The sequence below is a fragment of the Homo sapiens genome, chromosome X, assembly GCF_000001405.40.
Source record: "Homo sapiens chromosome X, GRCh38.p14 Primary Assembly".
Lineage (NCBI taxonomy): Eukaryota > Metazoa > Chordata > Mammalia > Primates > Hominidae > Homo > Homo sapiens.
The window spans coordinates 125,016,690-125,036,583 of NC_000023.11; the positions used below are offsets into that span (position 1 = coordinate 125,016,690).

General features: G+C 34.6%; 1 protein-coding gene across 11 annotated transcripts in view; it reads right to left on the reverse strand.

Moving 5' to 3' along the window:
• The window catches only part of TENM1 (teneurin transmembrane protein 1), an 828,410-nt gene that overhangs the window by 640,787 nt on the left and 167,729 nt on the right, over positions 1 to 19,894 (reverse strand). For 2 of the 11 annotated variants that reach the window (XM_017029211.3, XM_047441759.1), the window contains one exon: positions 8,878 to 8,958. The exons of the other annotated variants lie outside the window; for them this stretch is intronic. The gene's annotated coding sequence lies outside the window, so the exon portion shown is untranslated. The remainder of the gene's footprint in view (positions 1 to 8,877; positions 8,959 to 19,894) is intronic. 11 annotated transcript variants of the gene reach the window in all.

The window sequence follows — 19,894 nt, forward strand, 5'->3', positions numbered from 1 at the left end:
CTTCACATAATTAGAAAAAACTACTTTAAATTTCACATGGAACCAAAAAAGAGCCTGTATAGCCAAGACAATCCTAAGCAAAAGGAATAAAGCTGGAGGCATCACATTACCCGACCTCAAATTATACTACAAGGCTACAGTAACCAAAACAGCATGGTACTGGTACCAAAACAAATATATAGACCAATGGAACAGAACAGAGGCCTCAGAAATAACGCCACACATCTACAACAATCTGATCTTTGACAGACCTGACAAAAACAAGCAATGGGGAAAGGATTCCCTATTTAATAAATGGTGTTGGGAAAACTGGCTAGCCATAGGCAGAAAACTGAAACTGGGCCCCTTCCTTACACCTCATACAAAACTTAACTCAAGATGGATTAAAGACTTAAATGTAAGACCTAAAACCATAAAAACCCTAGAAGAAAACATAGGCAATACCATTCAGGACATAGGCATGGGCAAAGACTTCATGGCTAAGACACCAAAAGGAATGACAACAAAAGTCAAAACTGACAAATGGGATCTAATTAAACTAAAGAGCTTCCGTACAGCAAAATAAACTATCATCAGAGTGAACAGGCAACCTACAGAATGGGAGAAAATTTTTGTAATCTTTCCATCTGACAAAGGGCTAATATGCAAAATCTACAAGGAAGATAAAGAAATTTACAAGATAACAGATGCTGGAGAGGATATGGAGAAATAGGAACGCTTTTACACTGTTGGTGGGAGTATAAATTAGTTCAACCATTGTGGAAGGCAGTATGGAGATTCCTCAAGGATCTAGAACCAGAAACATCATTTGACCCAGCAATCCCATTACGGGGTATATACCCAAAGGATTATAATTCATTGTACTATAATGACACATGCACATGTATGTTTATTGCAGCACTGTTCACAATAGCAAAGACTTGGAACCAACCCAAATGCCCATCAATGATAGACTGGATAAAGAAAATGTGGCACATCTACACCATGGAATACTAGGCAGCCATAAAAAGGATGAATTCTTGTCTTTGCAGGGACATGGATGAAGCTGAAACCATCATTCTCAGCAAACTAACACAGGAACAGAAAACCAAATACTGCATGTTCTTACTCATAAGTGGAAAATGAACAATGAGAACACATGGACACAGGGAGGGGAACATCACACACCGGAGCCTATCAGGGGTTGGGGGCTAGGGAAGGGATAGCATTAGGAGAAATACCTAATGTAGAGGATGGGTTGATGGGTGCAGCAAACCACTGTGGCACGTGTATACCTATGTAACAAACCTGCACTTTCTGCAGATGTATCACAGAAGTTAAAGTTTAATAAAAAAATTAAATTTAAAAAAGCAAGGATCAAATTCAGTATTAGTTAACTTTAAAATAGTCAAGAGAAAACTCAAAGTTTTGCTTTAAACCATAAGAACTCAGATAATTTAAAGTTAATGATATCTGTTTTCTATGCTTAACTTAAAACCAGAATGATTCAAGGCAGTGAATTGTGCTGAAGATATTCAGATTATGACCAGTGCTAGGACAATGAATTTGATCATTCCAACATATGTTTGATGATCCAACAAATAGGTTCATGGAGCTCAGATGTTAAACTTTACCATAATGATTTGGCTTGAGAGCATTTGTTTAGTTTTTGGTTACATTGCCACACTGAGACCAAGAGCCATCAACTCCATTTTTATGTTTTTTATACTATGTTGAATTAAAAAATTTATGACATTAAAATGTTTATTTTGGAAGCATTTTTGAGGTCCTACTTGGAGAGGAAATCTCTAAAACTCACTATATTAGTTATGCAAACTTCCCCAAAATATTTGTAGAATTTGAGTAACTTAAAAATTAATTAAAAGCTAAAAATTAATTAAAAGCAAGCATAATATTTTTAAATTTCCTAACTCCTTCCTCAAAGTTAATATTAAGTCATCTAAAATTAAATTATGGACCTTAGAGATTATGAAACTGCAGTCTTTGAAGTTTGTACCTTATTTTTCATCTAGGGGTACCGTAAGTGTAATCTTAAAGTATAGATAACTTTTCAAATATTGCTTTATAAAGAATTACTTGAGTTATAGGTCACATGTAAGGAAGTTTAAAGGCCTTATTGACAAGCATATCCCTACAGACTAATATGAGCGGACAGATCTTAGCTTATCAGTTCAGGTTGGATGAAAACATATAATTAACAGATTGAACAAGTAATATAGATGTTTCTCATCAATCTTTGACAAATGAAAGGTAAGCAGAGCTGTGTGCTTCTCATAAATTGCTGAGTTTGTTATGCTGAGGTTTGTGTTATACTGAAAATGTTTTACATCTGTGAATGGAAAATGAAAATCCTGTCAACCTTAGCCAAATGTGTTTTGCACATAAGATGATCTGCACTACTTTACTATGGACATAAAGTCAATGAATATCCCACAAGTCCAGGCTAGCACAGGTGAGCATTTTAACATCAGTGCTGGAAAAGCTTATAACCAAAACAGAACAAAAAGCAAACCAAACAAACCCCCATCTAATTGCAATTTTACATTATGACTAATTTTCTTTTCAAAGGACAGCTCTTCTAAAAACAAGTCAGCAGCAATGTTATTTACAAATCTGAATTGCTTTAAAAAGAGGAAGCAAAAATTAAATATAAATTTAATTAAATATTTAAAATTTAATGTACAAAATTAAATATTTAAGCACCAAATATGAATATCATGTGTGAAACTATATGAAATCAATCACATCCTCTATTTTGATCATAACCCATCATGAAAGTTGAGACTAAAAATTCTATTCTGAATACTTTTCCTAAAGTAGCAGATATTAAAGAGTCTTACTTTATTGTAGACACAAATATGTTGTCTGTTGTGGATATTAATTATTATTCAGAACCTTATCTTATAATTACAGTATGGTTTAAGATAGAATAGTGTAATAAAATGAGCCATTTGGATATTTAGAAAAAAAGTCTGGCTTCAAGGCCCTATCTCTACAATTACTAAACTGTTCTCTGGGCGGCCTTGAGCAAATTACTCGATCTCCCTGAACCCCAAGTCTTCTTTTCTACAAAGTAGGGATATTAATATACCCACACTCCATGAGATTAAAATGGAATATGTGTGAAAATATCTCTTAACTTCAATGGATAATTATAATATTAATTACAATATAACAAAAATAATGATAGTAATAAGTCCATGGCATAATTGTCCCTCAAAGATGTTTCTGAGTATTGGTCAGAAAATATAGGTTGAGTTTTGATGTTGAGCATAATGAAATAGTCTCTAGGATGGACTCTGCCTCCACGTTAGAGTTAATGTTATGTATTTGAATGTGTCTTCTCTAAGATCTCCCCAACATTCATCTTTCTCATCATTCAGGTCTCAGCTCAAAAGCCACCTCCTCAGGAAGGCCTTCTCCATCCACACTAGCAGGAGTAGTGCTCCTCATCTCAGTCTCCCTCTAATTACTCTGTTTATCACATAGAATTTTTTCCTACCTGAAATTATTTTTTAAATCACAATTATCATCTATTTTTCTCCACAAGAATGTGAGCTCCAAGAAGACAGGGAACCTATTTTTCTTGTTAACTTGTTCACCTCTGTATTCCCAGTGGCTTCAAAAGTACTTGGCATGTATTCAATAGTAGGATTTTATAAATATTTACTAAATAAACAAGTGAATGGATCCGCTAACTCCATGAACCTATATAATTATAGGATACTTTTTAAAATCAAGAAACCAGGGTTCAGGCCTGATGTTAATGGGCTCAAACTTTCCCAAAGTTTTTTTCCTGGATGTTTTTTTTTTCTAAATGGAAGGCCCAGGTTTATTTTTATTATTATTATTATTTTTGCCTAGCCAAATGCTTCAAAATTCGAGTTAATTTTCCAGGTGAGTAATTAGGATAAAACTTAATTCTTCAGAGGAATTCTGAAGAATTGATTATTTCTCTAAAGGCCATTGGGCTGCATTTAAATCACCATTTCACTTTGGACTCTGAATGATCCAATTTACAAATCCCAATGAATCAAATTAACTATATAACTGCCAAAATGTAATCCCATTCAGGCAGTGAAATATCTGGTTTTATTGTCTACATTAGTTAAATGAACTCCATTAATTAAACTTCACTTCCATTTGTGCTGTTTCAACACAGCCTATGTTGTAAGCTTTTAGCCCTAAAATGGATATAGTCTTAAAATTGTGTGATTTTACTTACATTATTCAAAATTTGGTATTTCACTCGTTTCCCTCTTCTAACATTGATTTAACACTCTACATACACACTTACCCCATAGGTATATAAGCATCTCACTAAAGCTTTATAATTGTAAATAAATTGCCAACATTTTCTATATGACTAGTTGTTAATACTGGTTGATGCTATGAAAATTTTAAAGAAATTAGGTTTTTTTTGCCTTAAAAGAGAAACTGTTTTATGGTCTTGTCAAATTATGTGAACTTTTTGCGAGGCTGTCTATTAGAAATCCATCCCAGGGATTACACACATGAATTAAAGACAATTTTTTTTTTTTTTTTGCCTATGCTTCTTAACAGGTCATTGGTGCAATTCCTGTGTCATTTCTACCCTTTTTTCAGTAAAGATTTTACATTTTCATTTCAATTTCCATTCTTTAAACATCTGGCTGCAGCTATACCTGCAGTTTTCTATGAATGTGGACAATTATGGTAGGAGTTACCATCCTATTCTTGCGCATTAGCACCTGTTACCATTATAAGGCCCACAAGCAAATAGCTCAGAAATAATAGCAACATATTTAGAAATGAAATAGTTGTAACACTTTTGTACTTATATAGCACTGTTTTTCCCCTAGTAGGTTTCTTTATGAAAACCATGTCATGAATCTTTTAAGTCAGGATCTGGCAAACATTTTTTTTTTCTGTGAAGAGCCACAGAGTAAATGTTTTAGGCTTTCTGGTTCATATGGCCTCTGTTGTAACTATACAGCTCTGTCTTTGTGTTTCAAAAGCAGTGTGTAAATGAACGAATGAATGTGGTTGTGTTGCAATAAAGCTTTTTTATGGGCAGTAAAATTGGAATTTCACATAATTTTCACATATCACAAAATACTGTCCTTCTTTGATTTTTTGTTTTAACAATTTAAAAAGGTAAAAACAATTGTTAGCTCACAAACCATACAGAAATAGGCAGCAGGCTGCATTTAGCTGAGGGATGCAGCTTACTGACCCCTGCCCTAAGTTGTCCCATAATACTTTTAAGTGTCAGAAATTATTATCCCTTTTTCCCTCTGGTGATGACAAATATGGTACTAAAAAGTTGAAGAAGTTTTATCAAGTTTTAGAAGAATTTATGACAATCCATTCATTCAGCAAATATTTGTTGAGTACCTATTTGGCTAGAAATGAATGTTGCTAACTCCTTGTGTTCAATATCAAGCGTACCCCTGAATATTGAAACATTAATATGTGCCTCATTTATACTAGTCAAATAATAAGTTTATCCACAAGGAGAATGACATAGCTTTAGAGCTTAGTGACTTTACACTCATTAGCTGAAAGATCCACATAGGTTTTTCAAGGAAACTAAAGTTTTAAGAGAAATATAACCTGAACTTTACAAATTTAAGTCCTGTATATTTACCTCAGCTAGTGTCCCAACACAAATGGGGAAAAAGAAATAAGCAGAAGTGTGAAGAAGCAGAAAATATAAGCACCAGGGTTCGATAAAATTTGTTTGAAAACAATATAAAAACTTTCAGGCCAAAATATATGGAATATATGATCTAGCTTAAGGTTAACTCCTCAGAGGTTCAGATGGCATTATCATGTGGGGGCTAAGTAGCAAAATCATTACTGTAAGTAGAGTTTGATCCTTGGTTTTAGAAACTTTAATAGTCTGGTGTTCTAAAAGCTCCAGCCTCAAATATGATATATAATGAACTACTTTAAGAGCATTCTTATGACTACAAGATTTCTTTGAAAAATTTGTGTTTAGCAGCCCAAGCAAGCATCATCGAGCCTAATTAATTTAGAACAAGGCAGTTCTTACTAAAAAAGACAATATTTCCCCCTGAGGTATGAGCTGTTGCACAATTGATTTTATATTTGATAAACTTAGGGCTACATTAGTTGTGTATATATTTTCTGTGCACCCCCTCAAAATACAACTTTAGTTCATAACCCTTTTTCATTTCTCTTTTCTTATGTTCAGTAATCATCTGTTTAAATATAAATTTATTACAAATCACATATTCTGCATAATGGGTTACGGAAGTACAGGATTAAAGAAACAAGGTGATCCACTAAGCTTTGGCCACATCAGTTCTGAAAACCACAAGTATAAGGCTGTGGAGTACACCATTTGGCTAAGTTTTCAGCATAGACCCCTGCTGACTTCAAATTTAGATGACAAGCTGAAATGGTTAGGCTTTGTGTTCTCACCCAAATCTCATCTTAATTTAAATCCCCAGGTGTTGTGGAGATACCTGGTGGGAAGTGATTGGATTATGGGGGCGGTTTCTCCCATGCTATTTTTGTGATAGTGAGTGAATTCTCATGAGATCTGATGATTTTATAAATGGTAGTTTTTCCTGCACTGACACACTCACTCTCGCCTGCTGCCATGTGAGACGTGCCTTTGCTTCTCCTCCACCTTCCACGATGATTATAAGTTTCGTGAGGCCTCCCCAGTCATGCAGAACTGTAAGTCAATTACAACTTTTTCCTTTATAAATTACACAGTCTCAAGTCTTTATAGCAGTGTGAGAATGGACTAATACACTAGCCAAGATCTTATGGCTCTGCGTCAACCAGGTAGATAAGATTCTGGAGAGAACAAGGACAATGCTACAGAAGAGTAACATTGGATGATGACAGATGATGACATGCAGAGAATTTTACTGAGCTCCTTATGCACTCATGAATAAGGACAGAAGAATCTTAAAAAAAAAAAACTTCTGTGGACAGGACCATGGTGGAAAGAATACTCAGGAATGGTTCAGTATAAAGCATGTAACCACTACTCTCAGTCATGGTCACTAGTAGAGGAGACACAAGTCTTCAATGCCTCCCTGAGGCTAAGACCTAGACTCTTACTATCCATTAAAATATTCTTAACATCCTACAGGACAGGGGAAAATATTTGCGAACAATGCATCCAACAAATGGCTAATATCCAGTATCTACAAGGAACACAAACAACTCAACAAGAAAAAAAATAACCCCAATAAAAAGTGGGCAAAGGATATGAACAGATATTTTTCAAAAGAAGATGTATATGTGGCCAACAAACAGACAAAAAAATGCTCAACATCATTAATCATCAGAAATGTAAATTTAAACCACAATAAAATATCACTTTACACCAGCCAGAATGGCCATTATTAAAAAGTTAAAAAACAATAGATGTTGGCATAGATGTGAAGAAAAGGCAATGCTTATACACTGTGGGTGGGAATATAAATTAGTACTGCCACTATGGAAAACAGTATGGAGATTTCTCATGTAACTACCATTCAATCAAGCAACCCACCACTGCACATCTACCCAAAGGAAAAAATATCATTATATCAAAAAGACACCTGTACTCATATGTTTATCACAGCACTATTCACAATAGCAAAGTCATGGAATCAACCTAAGTGTCCATCAATGGATGACTGGATATATATATATACACACATACATATGCACACACACACACACACACCACACACACACACACACACCCCTACTGAAACACTACTCAGCCATAAAAAAAGTGAATTTGCAGCAACATGGACGGAACTGGATGCCATTATCTTAAGTGAAATTATTCAGAAACAGAAAGTCAAAAACCACACATTCTCACTTATAAGTGGGAACTAAACAATGAATACACATGGACATACACTGTGGAATAATAAAGGCTGGAGACTCCAAAATGTGGGATAGTGGGAAGGGGATAAGGCATCAAATACTACCTATTGGGTACAGTGTACACTATTCAGGTGATGTGTACACTAAAATCCCAGACTTTACCATTAAACAATATTATCCATGTAACAGAACTGTATTTAGACCTCCCAAATCTTTAAAAATAAAATAAAATAAGATATGCTTAGAATAATGCAGTTAGTTAGCTTTATTATTCTCATCTAATTACTATCAATATGCTTTACTGAATGTAAAGCGGATCTTTATATTTTTATCTGTTTTTTCAGTGAAGTGATTAGCTCTCACTAAATCTCTGGATAAGTGCTTAGAATGCAGAGAGGCCGCCAATTTCCAATCAATTCTGTTGGCCTTATGGTTCACTGTTACTTGAACAAGCTAGTTATCAACAGGCAGTGTGACCTTCAGTTTTATACTGGAAAATTGAAATTTTAAAAAGTAATATTGAAAATATCGAATACAAGGCAAAAGTAGTATTCATTTTCTTTGGGAATAATCACCTCTGAAGGGTCCAAAAACAGAGGGCAATGTTCCTGTAAGTATTATACTGTGTGACCATAAAACAAAGAGGAATTTTCAATATTGCATAAAGAGGGTGTGTAGTCAAAATAAAGGATTAATTGAGACCATGTATGTATACATACTATTGTGTTTTTCTGGGGTGGGGGTGCGGTTTGGCTGGGAAGTGAGGGTGCTACTCCAGTTCTTCCTCTTCACAGAGAAGTACATGTTTTAAAACTATGAGACACAGAAATTCAAATTAACTCATTCTTCTACTCTAAATACAAAGAAATGAAAGATAGTGTATAAAAGGAGAAGAGCAAAAAATATAGCTCGGTTCAAAGACAAGATTTAACATCTTTTTAGAATAGAAACAGAAAAGAGTCTGAAGCAGCTGAAGCAGTGAAGCAAATGGCATGCTGGGTTCTGAGTTCAGAAGCATGCGGTGTTACCCACGTCAGCTCCAGAGGTGTGTCCATGATAAAAGTGCTGGGAAGCAGGCAAGGTGAATAATACAAAGTCCTGATGTTGGGCCTTCTGAAAAAAGGTTACAGATTTGTAAGAAATTAGTGACCGGGGAAGAAAAGAGAACCAGGCATAAGCTCTTGGTAAGAGACCTAAAACACAATTATGAGCACTAAGAAATCAACACTAAAATGATAGTCCCAAACCCCTTGTATAATAACTTTTAAAGCACCGCTAAATACCTGATAAGTTAACAATTAAATTGCAATGGGAATTTAAAAAAAATTAGAATGTAAAGGTTGCAAAAGTACTACATACCAACATTTGTGGGATATGCCTAAAGGTATACAATGAGGGAAATGTATAACACTAAATGCCTTTATTCATTAAAGATGGAAAGATAAGTGAGTTAAATATTTATCTCAAAAAGTTGGAAAAAATAACATCAGACTAAATGTGAATAAAAGAAAAGGAAAAAGTAAAAAATAAGTACAGAAACTAGTGCAATAGAAAAAAGAAAGCACAACCAGCAAAAATAAAACAAAAATCTGGTTTATTTAAAATGCTTGTAAAATAAACAATCCTCCAGTAAAACCAATAAATAAAGAAGGAGAAAAGGCAAAGGAAAAAAAAAACCCTAATACTCAAGAGAAAATAAAGATACAACAAAAATGATAAAATCATAAAATAAGACCATAAACAATAGCATGCAAATGCATTTGAAAAACTAGATAAAAGGAATAATTTTCTAGAGAAATATAAATCACTAACATACTCCAAGGAAAAAATTAAAGAATGAAAAATAAACAATTGCCATTAAACAAATGAAATGTATAATCAAAAGTCTCCCACTCACCAGCTCAGACAATTTTAAATGCAACATTTATCAGATTTTTGAGAAATAAACCCCTGTCTATATAAACTATTTCAGAGGCTAAAAAAGAAGGAAAGCTATCCGCTCATTCACTGAGGCTTGTGTAACTACGATACAAAAATCTGACAAGGGCAATTTGGAAAAGGATAATTACAGACTAATTTTATGCAAAAATCCTTAAAAGAAATTACTGAACCATATCCAGCAATGTGTAAAAAATATAATACATCCAGGCCAAGTTGAGTTTATCCAAAAAATGAAAGGCTGCTTCAAAATTAAATAAATTAATTAATGTAATTAACTTAATTAACAAAATAACAAAAGCGAAAACATATGTCATTTGAATGGATGAAGAAATAGCATTTAACAAAAATCAACTTCAGTGAAGTTCATTTAAATGTGATGAAGTAAATTCATCACACTTAAAAACCTTTTTTAGAAAACATAGCAAATTGGAAATATAGCAGTAGTCCCTCAACTTCTTAAAGGGTATCTATTAAAAACCTGCAGTAAACATAATAATCAATGGTGTAATTTTGGAAGTCTTCCCATTAAAATCAAGACAAAAACACCCACTTTCATCATTTCTATTTAAGATTTTAATGAAGGTCCAAGACAATGCAATAAAACAAGGAAAACAAATCAGATATAAAATGGAAAGCATTAGACAAAACTGTCACTATTTGCAAAGGATATAACTGTCTACACAGAAAAATCCAAGTGAGTACAAATTATTTGAACTAACAAAATGTTTAGCAAGGTTTCTGGAAAGAAAATCAATGTACTAAAACCAATAACAAACTTCTATATGAGTAATAACAAATTAGAGAATTCAATAAGAAAAAAAAAGCAAGGTTCCATTTACAGTATTAACGAAGGCTGAAACAGAACCTAATAAATCTAGTAAAAGCTGCAAGAAACCTTTATGGAGTGAGCAAAAGTTATTGAAGGACATTAAAGATTTGAACGAAAGGAGAGATAAAGTATGTTCATGAATTAGAAGACTGAACTTCATGAAAATATGAATTGTATTCAAATTAATCTGTAAATTTGATGCAATGCCAAAGGCATAAGAAACAAACTGAAAGCCCAAGTCAAAAGTTTGGAGAAGATAATTATGAGGATCATAACCATAACTGACAAAGATTTCTTTTTCTTTTTCTTTTTTTTTTTTTTTTTTTTTGAGACGGAGTCTCGCTCTGGCGCCAGGCTGGAGTGCAGTGGTGCGATCTCGGCTCACTGCAACCTCCGCTTCCCGGGTTCAAGTGATTCTCCTGCCTCAGCTTCCTGAGTAGCTGGAACTACAGGTGGCAAAGATTATTTTTAAGAAGACTCTTATGACTAAAAAGTAGCAAAATAAATACATTATATGGACAGGGAATTCTCAGACAAGAAAATCTGAATTGACGATAGACATGTGAAAAAGTACTTTACCTCACAAGCAATCAGTGGAATATAAATTAAATCAGTGTGGACCTATAGCATTGTGCAGACTGGCAAAAATTTAACCACACTAAATGTCGATACGGATATAGAGAATTAGGAATTTCACATACTGCTAGTAGAAGTCTAATTTTGTGTGCCTTGAAAAACAATTTGGTAATACCTAGTAAAGTTGAGGATATTCATGCTCTTCGACCCAGAAATTCCACTTCTAGATGTATACTTTAAAAAACTCTCTCTCACACACAAATACTCATAAGAATATTTACTGCTGCACTGTTTGTAAAATTAAATTCTGGGAAAAGTCTAAATATCCACCAATAATGGAAGATTTGTATTTTCATCCAATAGATTCATTTTATATATTAACAGAATGAAATAGAGCCTCCCATTAGCATAGTTAAATCACAGAAATAAAGTTAAGAGACAAAAGAACATTGAAGAAGAATATGTGTTTAATGAAAACCTATATGGATGCTGTAAAAACAGTAAAACATACATAGAAATGAAAATTATCCTTCGCAAACTAATGCAGGAACAGAAAACCAAAAACTACATGTTCTTTCTTATAAGTGGGAGTTAAATGATGAGAACACATGGACATATAGAGGGGAACAACATACACTGGGGCCTATCAGAGAGTGGAGGGTGGAAGAAGGAAGAGGATCAAGAAAAATAATGGGTACTGGGCTTAATATTTGGGTGATGAAATAATTTGTACAACAAACCCCAATGACACAACTTTACCTATGTAACAAACCTGCACATGCACCTTTGAACTTACAATAAAAGTTAAAAAAAATATTCATATATCAGAAATGTTCACAATGAAAACAGGAATAATAGTTAACTTATTAAAAGTCTGCAACCAATAAAAAACAAAGAAAAATATCAAATTCAGGATATTGCTTACATCTAGGGTGAAAGAGGGAAGAATGGCATGGGGGGGACATAAGAAGTTTCAGCTTTGTCTGTAACGTTTTATTCTTGAAAATAGATTTAAAGAAAAGGTAACATGCTAGATTTGACATAACTTAGTGAAAGAATGATAGGTATGCGAGAATTTGCTATGTGAAATCCTGTGCATTTGACATATTTCATCATTAATAAAAATAATATTTAGAGGAACACAGAAAATATTTCATTCAATGTTACTGAAATTTTTCTTCAGTTTAGGAACTAGCATAGCATTAAAAATGCACATTGAGTAGTGATGGCAGTTGGCTTGGGTTGGCCTTGAGGATGGCTGACACTGACCTTACAGGAAGTTCTTTCACTCTTCTTCTGGAGAGCTCTCTGGCTCAAGTCCATTGAAGTCTTACTTATATCCTGATCTATGTCCTATTTGATTTTCCTTAAATTTATTTAAAAACCACTTGTTTAGAATAGTTCTAATTTATCCTCAGGCTACATCTCAACAAGAGCTGCCAAATTTCCCTATCTTGGAACCAGGTCTGTATTACATCAACTCTTTCCAATCTCCAGAGGAAGATATCCCATCTCTTCGCATCTCTTGTAGCACTTTAAAAGCAAAACATCCTAGCAGGGTTGTAGGCATACTTTTGGCCATTTTACAGGCGGGAAACCGAGACTCAAAGTGGTGCAGCAATGTGCCTGAGGTCACACAACACAGCTCATATTTGTCAAATTTGGGTTTCCAATTTAGGTTGGTCAGATTACAAAATCCATATTATTTCTCCTGTGCGAAGTATTACTTAGTAAACCTCAAAACTATATTATACACTGCCCTGCTATTTTTATTTCCTGGAATGCACACAGCCAGTACAGTACAGAGAACCAGTAGTCTCCCCATAGGAAACACAGGCCAAAGTTCACCACAGGCATCATTTAGAAGGCCAAGAGGAGACTGGCGGTTGTGTATATAGCTGTAGCCTGCCTATGGCCTATGCAAAAAGCCTTCTGGCAGTTGACACGTGGCCCAATCCAGTTCACCAGGGTAGGGCACTGATCACAATTTAGGACCAAAGCTACCAAGTAGGGAAACTTTGGATATGGTAGATATTTGGAACAGGATTGAAGATCATAATCCTAACCTATTTACCGGCACAACTAAAAGAAAGAGATTTGCCTGCAAATTAGATCTGTGTCATTTGTATTTTCAAAGTGATTGAAGTTGGTAAGTGACCATCTACAGTATATCTGTTTATCTGTTACTTTTTAGCTAATGTGTATTTTAAGGCATTTTAAATATATTTATGTGGCATATCAATTGGTTAATCAAATTAATGTTTTGAGAGTTCACAGGCAGTATGAAGTCTTATTACTTCCTTCAAAGCACAGAATCGCAATTGGCTAGACATTCTCAAACTTAAATCCTAAAACATCCGAAGAAGGTCGGCGTTTAGGAACCCATGAGTCTCAAATGGACTTTCATGGGAAAATACATCTCTCATTCTTTACCACATTGTTTTCTGTGCTCCATAAATTTGTTTACTCTGTTCTTTAGTTGGCCTACCAAAAACAATCAGCTCAAAAATATATCAAAATGAATTTAACTGCCAAGACAAAAAGACATTACATTTTTTTCTAGGTGTAAACTACCAAAATGGCTTTCTATATCATTCAGGATTTTATATTCTATAGTTTGTTAACTACATGTTCATGAAAAATGTTCAAGCTTATCCCTTCTTTTCCCCAGAATGCTTTTTCAAACTGTGTATGACAGATGTGAAAAGTTTACTTATCTTTACCTAAATAGTCTAACAGTTTTTCTGCTTAATGTTATCTGTTAACACATATTATATAGAGAATAACATTTTAGTAGTGTGAAAAAAATGTGAATTATTAAAAACAAAATGTCTAAATGTTAAAATAGTTTAATTAATGCAACAGTTGCATTAGTTTAATTCACAATGTTTCTTGCTGTTAAGTGTTACTAGTAGTGGTCCCTTAGGACACTTAATGAGTAGATAAGAATAATTAGAATCTAATATATTGATTGTATATAAATGGATGCCTGAATAAAATATGTTTTGGATATATATTCCTATAAACGTTTAAATAACCAACCTAGAAATCTTGCATTAGTATATTAATTTTAATTTTTTTCTTTTTCTACTTTTATTTTAGATTCAGCAGGTACATGTGCTGGTTTGTTACCTAGGTATATTGCATAAAGCTGAGGTTTGGGGTATGACTGATCCTGCTATCCAGGTACTGGGCAGAGCAGCTAACAGTTTTTTAACTCTTCCCCTCCTCCCTCCCCACTCTAAGTAGTCCCCAGTGTCCATTGTTCTCATCTTTATGTCCCTGAGTATCTGATGTTTAGCTCCACTTATAAGTGAGAAGATGTGGTACTTGGTTTTCTGTTCCTCCATTAATTCACCTGGGATAATGGCCTCCTTTGCTGCAAAGGATATAATTTCATTCTTTTTTATAATTTGAATCTTATTATAAATTAATATAAATTAAGGAGTTGTTGCCATTTATATTGCTATATTAATTATATTGTTTCTTTTCTGGTTATCTTAAGTAAATGGCAATTGATCTGAGAAGTAAGGACATACATCTTTCCCTCTTCTAAGTCCCCTCAACTGAAATGTAAAAGATTGGTAACTGAATAAAATAATCTACAAAGAATTCTTTTTTAATTTTCATTTGTATTTTAAGTTATAGGGTACATGTGCAGATGTGCAGATTCGTTACATAGGTAAATGTGTGCCATGGTGGTTTGCTGCAGAGATCATCTCATCACCTAGGTATTTACAAAGAATTCTTTTAGGTCAGATTATATTGAGTTAATATAGCCTAATTCATCATCAGGTTGTTTTCAGAAACGAGATGGCATTGCTCCTCTGTGAACTTCATCCATTCATGATTCAGAACCTCTATCTTTAGAATTAAGTGTTTCTTCTTATTTTCCTACTTCTCCTAGGAGCAGATCACATTAATTTCTGAGTTCATTTTACTTTCCAACTTCTAGTACTTCAAAAATTTTAAACTGTGAACTAAGGGTTAGAAGACAAAACTAAGCAGATTTTTAAAAATTATAAAAGTAATAGAATGTGTTCCATTGGTACTAGAAGGGCAAGGAGAAGTGAAAGAAAACATTAATGAGTTTAGGTATCAAAAAATATTCCACTACCTAAAAGAGATGAAGAAACAATAAAAGAAAATATGTGGATGAGAGAACAAACAAGAGATTGAGATGGTGGGAGGCGGGGTGGTAGAGTGAGCAAGACAGAGTATTATTTTCCAGCTAGATTATGGTAACAACTTCCTAACTAGTCACCAGTCTCCAGTATGTTCCTTTTTAAATCATTTTTTTTTTTTTGAGACGAAGTTTTGCTCTTGTTGCCCAGGCTGGAGTGCAATGGTGCGACCTCAGCTCACTGCAACCTCTGCCTCCTGAGTTCAAGCTATTCTCCTATCTCAGCCTTCTGAGTAGCTGGGAATACAGGCATGAGCCACCACACCCGGCTAATTTTTGTATTTTTAGTAGAGACGGGGTTTTACTATGTTGGTCAGGCTGGTCTTGAACTCCTGACCTTAGGTGATCCATCCGCCTCGGCCTCCAAAAGTGCTGGGATTACAGGAGTGAGCCACCGTGTCCAGCCAAATTCATCTTATATTCAATAGCCAAATTCGTCTTAAGACTTCCATGATGTTATAACCTTATACAAAAGCCTTTGGAAGTAAACTGTTGATTATAGGATCAAGTTCAGCTGTCTACAGTCTTGCTTACTACTACCTATTCAAACATCCCTTGTACTATCCCCCAGACAGTTTTCCAAACCAGTCAGCAAGGTTTCCTCCAAACAGTGTTTTATTATTTAATTTTGCTGCCCTTATTTACAGGGGCTGCCACTCTCCCATTTACTTTGGTAAACCTATTTATCCTTTAAGCACATCCCAATACAATAAATTATACAGCCCAGCACAACACAGCCTCACGTCCCAGAGCCCTAATGTACTAGTATTCTGTCCCAAGGATTCTTGCATGTGATTTTTGCTCTGCTTAATTATTCTCCCATTGTCATGTTGCATGAATTCATTCTTTCAGAAAATATTGATGGAGGGTTGTCTATCATGTGCAAACTGACATCCATGATGCTGTAAAACAGTGACTCTCAATTGAGGGAGCACTTATCCCAAATTTGGAAAGGTGTGGAGGTAACTTCGGTTGTTACAGTGACTGGGAGATGCTACTGACATTTATTGTATAGGGGAAAAAGATAATAACGATAACACAATGGGGTGGGCCACTCCCATAATATGAAGAATTCTCCATCTCAAAGTGTGAGTGTGGAAGACCCCAAGATGAATTAGACATGGCTCACAGTCTCAAAGATGTAAGTTTTGAGTTCAAAAGGAAGATGAGATGAGTATCATATATGAAAATGTTTTATCTCAACATGTAAACTATTTTGTGTCAGGACTGTGTTGGTTATTTTCCATGAATTCCTCATGGTGTCTTGTACTAGGCTGGACACATGACAGATACTAGGTAAAGACTTACTGACTTGACCCATATGAAAAAAACCCCAAAAACTCAATGAGTACTATGTAGAGAAACAGTTCTACAGATAATCATGTTATCCTCATTGTATTTTGAAATTGATAAAGAAGACAAAGCTGTGACGATACAGCCTGCTAAACCTCTTGAGGGGTGACTGTGAAGTTGAGAGTAGAAAAAGCAGCCTCTTACAGTAAGTAGCAGGAGGAAGGGAAGGACAAAGGGTTGGCAAAGTGTGAGAAGCTACAGTTCCTTCTTTTGAACCATGAGTTTGCTATGGAACATTTTACCGTTTTGATATGGAACATTTTACCGTATACAGATGGGAGCTGAATAGCTGCAGATTTGCTTTTTTTTTTTTCCACATCCTCTTCCTGACTGCAACAATCACAACTTGCATACATGGCAGAAGAAAAATTTACTTTGCTCATCTACACAATATTCATTTTTTTGTTTATAACCAAATGTTATTCATCTGTACCTCTTTTTGGGCTGCAACAGTTAAATAAAATAACATGACATATTTTTATTACACATGTAAACAACAGAAAAATACATACATGCTTATCTAAGAATACCACTTTGGATGTCTATTTTGCCTTTCTTCTAAGGCAACATAACCTTTTTGCATTTGCCCTTACAACAACACTGTGAGACAGACAGCATCATCCCATTTTATAGCTGTAGAAACCATGGCCCAGAGAAATAAAGCAACTTGCCAGAAGTCTCAGAGTCTGTGTCAAGGCCTGGACTAGAAGCAAGAGCTCTTGACTCCCTAGGCAATGTATTACTCAGGAGACTACCATTGTTGCTTCACAGACAGGAATACTCATTCAGGAAAAGCAACAAATCTACATACCATCCAAGATGCTAGACTTGAGCAATCTGTTTGGTTTTGCAGAATTTTCTATGTTACACTGCTCTTAATTAACTATATACCAGAGGAAGTGGGGACCAAAAATTGCCATTTGCAAAAGTTAGCATTAATCTCCACTGCCCGACAAATTCTTGCTCAGTAAGTTACCTTGCTATAAAGGTACAAGTTTGGGACCTGTGCCTTTAAGTACCAGGGGAAATAATAAAAATTTTGATCAAAGATCACTGGGAGGCTTACAGCAAACTCGCAAACTAACAACAGTCCAACAGGGATGTAGGATCTTCTCTAACAGACAAGAAAGATCCTGTTACATGCAATATAATGCTTTTGAATAAAAATCACAAAAAGTAGATTGATCTAAAGAAGATTAAATTTTCACTCACATCTTAGTTTTGATACATTTATCAATCCTTAAAAATTAAATATACAAATGTTAACTTCAGAGATATCCACCAGAAACCAGAATTAATAGAAATTCTAATTCACTTTGTGGAAAAAGGAAAATGCAGTTGACTCAGAAAACTAGATATTGGATGTCTAGTACATTTTTGGGTAAAACCTCCTATGCCTCTCAGGCCATCCTAGGGAACCAACTAAATCTAACCTTTATGACATCACTTCAAATAGACTATAGCCTGTTTACGGGCAAGGAGAATTTCTTATAGGCCCACCATTAGATGTAATGATATAATGCATGTAAAGTGATTACTCAATGCCCAAAATATACTAAATAACTAACAAATGGAAGTTTTAAATATTTTCATTCACTATAGTGACAAGCACAGTGTTTGGATATAGGAGGTGGTTAATGCTTATACATACTGCTATTTGGCTTCTATTTTCCAGATAAATAGAATGCTCTCTGATTTCTTAATAGTAAAATAAATGGAATTTACTAGAAATGGTATACCTATATTTGGAAGTATCGGGAAGTGAGTATGGATAGCATAAAGGCCAGTGCTGGTCTTCAAGTCCTATAATTTTAAATGTATTTCCCAGATTTTTTGTAGAGTTGATAAGAGCACCAAGAGTCCATTATGACTCAAATGCAGTTGATACTCTGCTATAACAACCAGAGAAAAGCAACTGCCAAGCTTATTAAGCTAGTAAATACAGCAGATCATTGGAATTTATGGATTTAACATTTGCAATTTTGACTATTCAGGAAGTGACTCCATGAGTCCATGACCTGTAGTTACGTGTAATGTTGCTGACACCTAAATTTGGATCTTTGGTGTTGAATATAACTAGTGAGTGAGTTGGCCAACTGCCCAACATCCAAAACTCTGCTCTTCTATACTTGTTGGGGGTATATGCAGCAACTCTACTGAAGTGATGACAATTAACTTTAATTCTATGTGAAAAAATGGCCCTGAAAAGAAAAACACAACTGCTAGTGATAATGCTAGCAGTGAAAAGGAAGTGCTAGTTCTTAGCCAGAAAATGGCTTTGTAAATGACTTTAGTCTTGTATTTATAGAACCATTAATGGTCTGAAAAGGGTCTGTTAAATTTTTCAGTTATACTTTACTGCCTTTTATGAGGGAAATTATATGCTAGAGTGATATTTGAGGCTGTGGGGAGTCAAAAAGGTCTCAGGGCCTATCCCTTGTGAATGGAGAAGGTGTGCTGTCCTATTGTGATGCTCCATCAGAAACAATAGCATGTCACTCTCAACAAGCTGATAAAAAATATTATGGGAACTCTGCTATGTGTTATCTCTCAGGCTACTCTGGAGACTGAGGGTTAGTAATCTGGTTATAAGGACAATTGAATCATTATTAAAATTCCACAGAAGCAATTAAAATGCACGCTCTCACTAACAAAAACTGCAGGTCCTTATTAATTGACATTTCACAAACAGAGATGCCTTTAATCTTCCCTAAATAAATGTAAATGTATTCTTTAAGTCATTGCAACATTATGTGGCAGTTGGCACTTCGTCAAAATTTTCTATTTCTACCTGATTTCTCTTTGAATGTAATTTATGCCTGTTGTTGCTTTTGTTATATTCATTTTAAGGAAGTATTTGTTGAAAGCTCAAGCACTGTATCTTTTAAAAGAATTATTTTTCACCCTAAATAAAGCATCGTGGCTTTGCAACGTATTTGTGTTGATTTTTAACAGCCGAGAATTAACAACACACTTACGTTTGAAATGCTTGTGAGTTAAAGTGTCAAAATGTACCAAGAATTGTAAAGGGGAGACATAAAGACAAAGACTGTGTAGAGTTTGGCTTTAATAGTGTTGGGCAGAGTTTAAGGCAAAATCTATTTGTATTCAGATGCATTGTAATACCCACCAAAACTTGGATCATCTATAAGAATATTGCAAAGGCC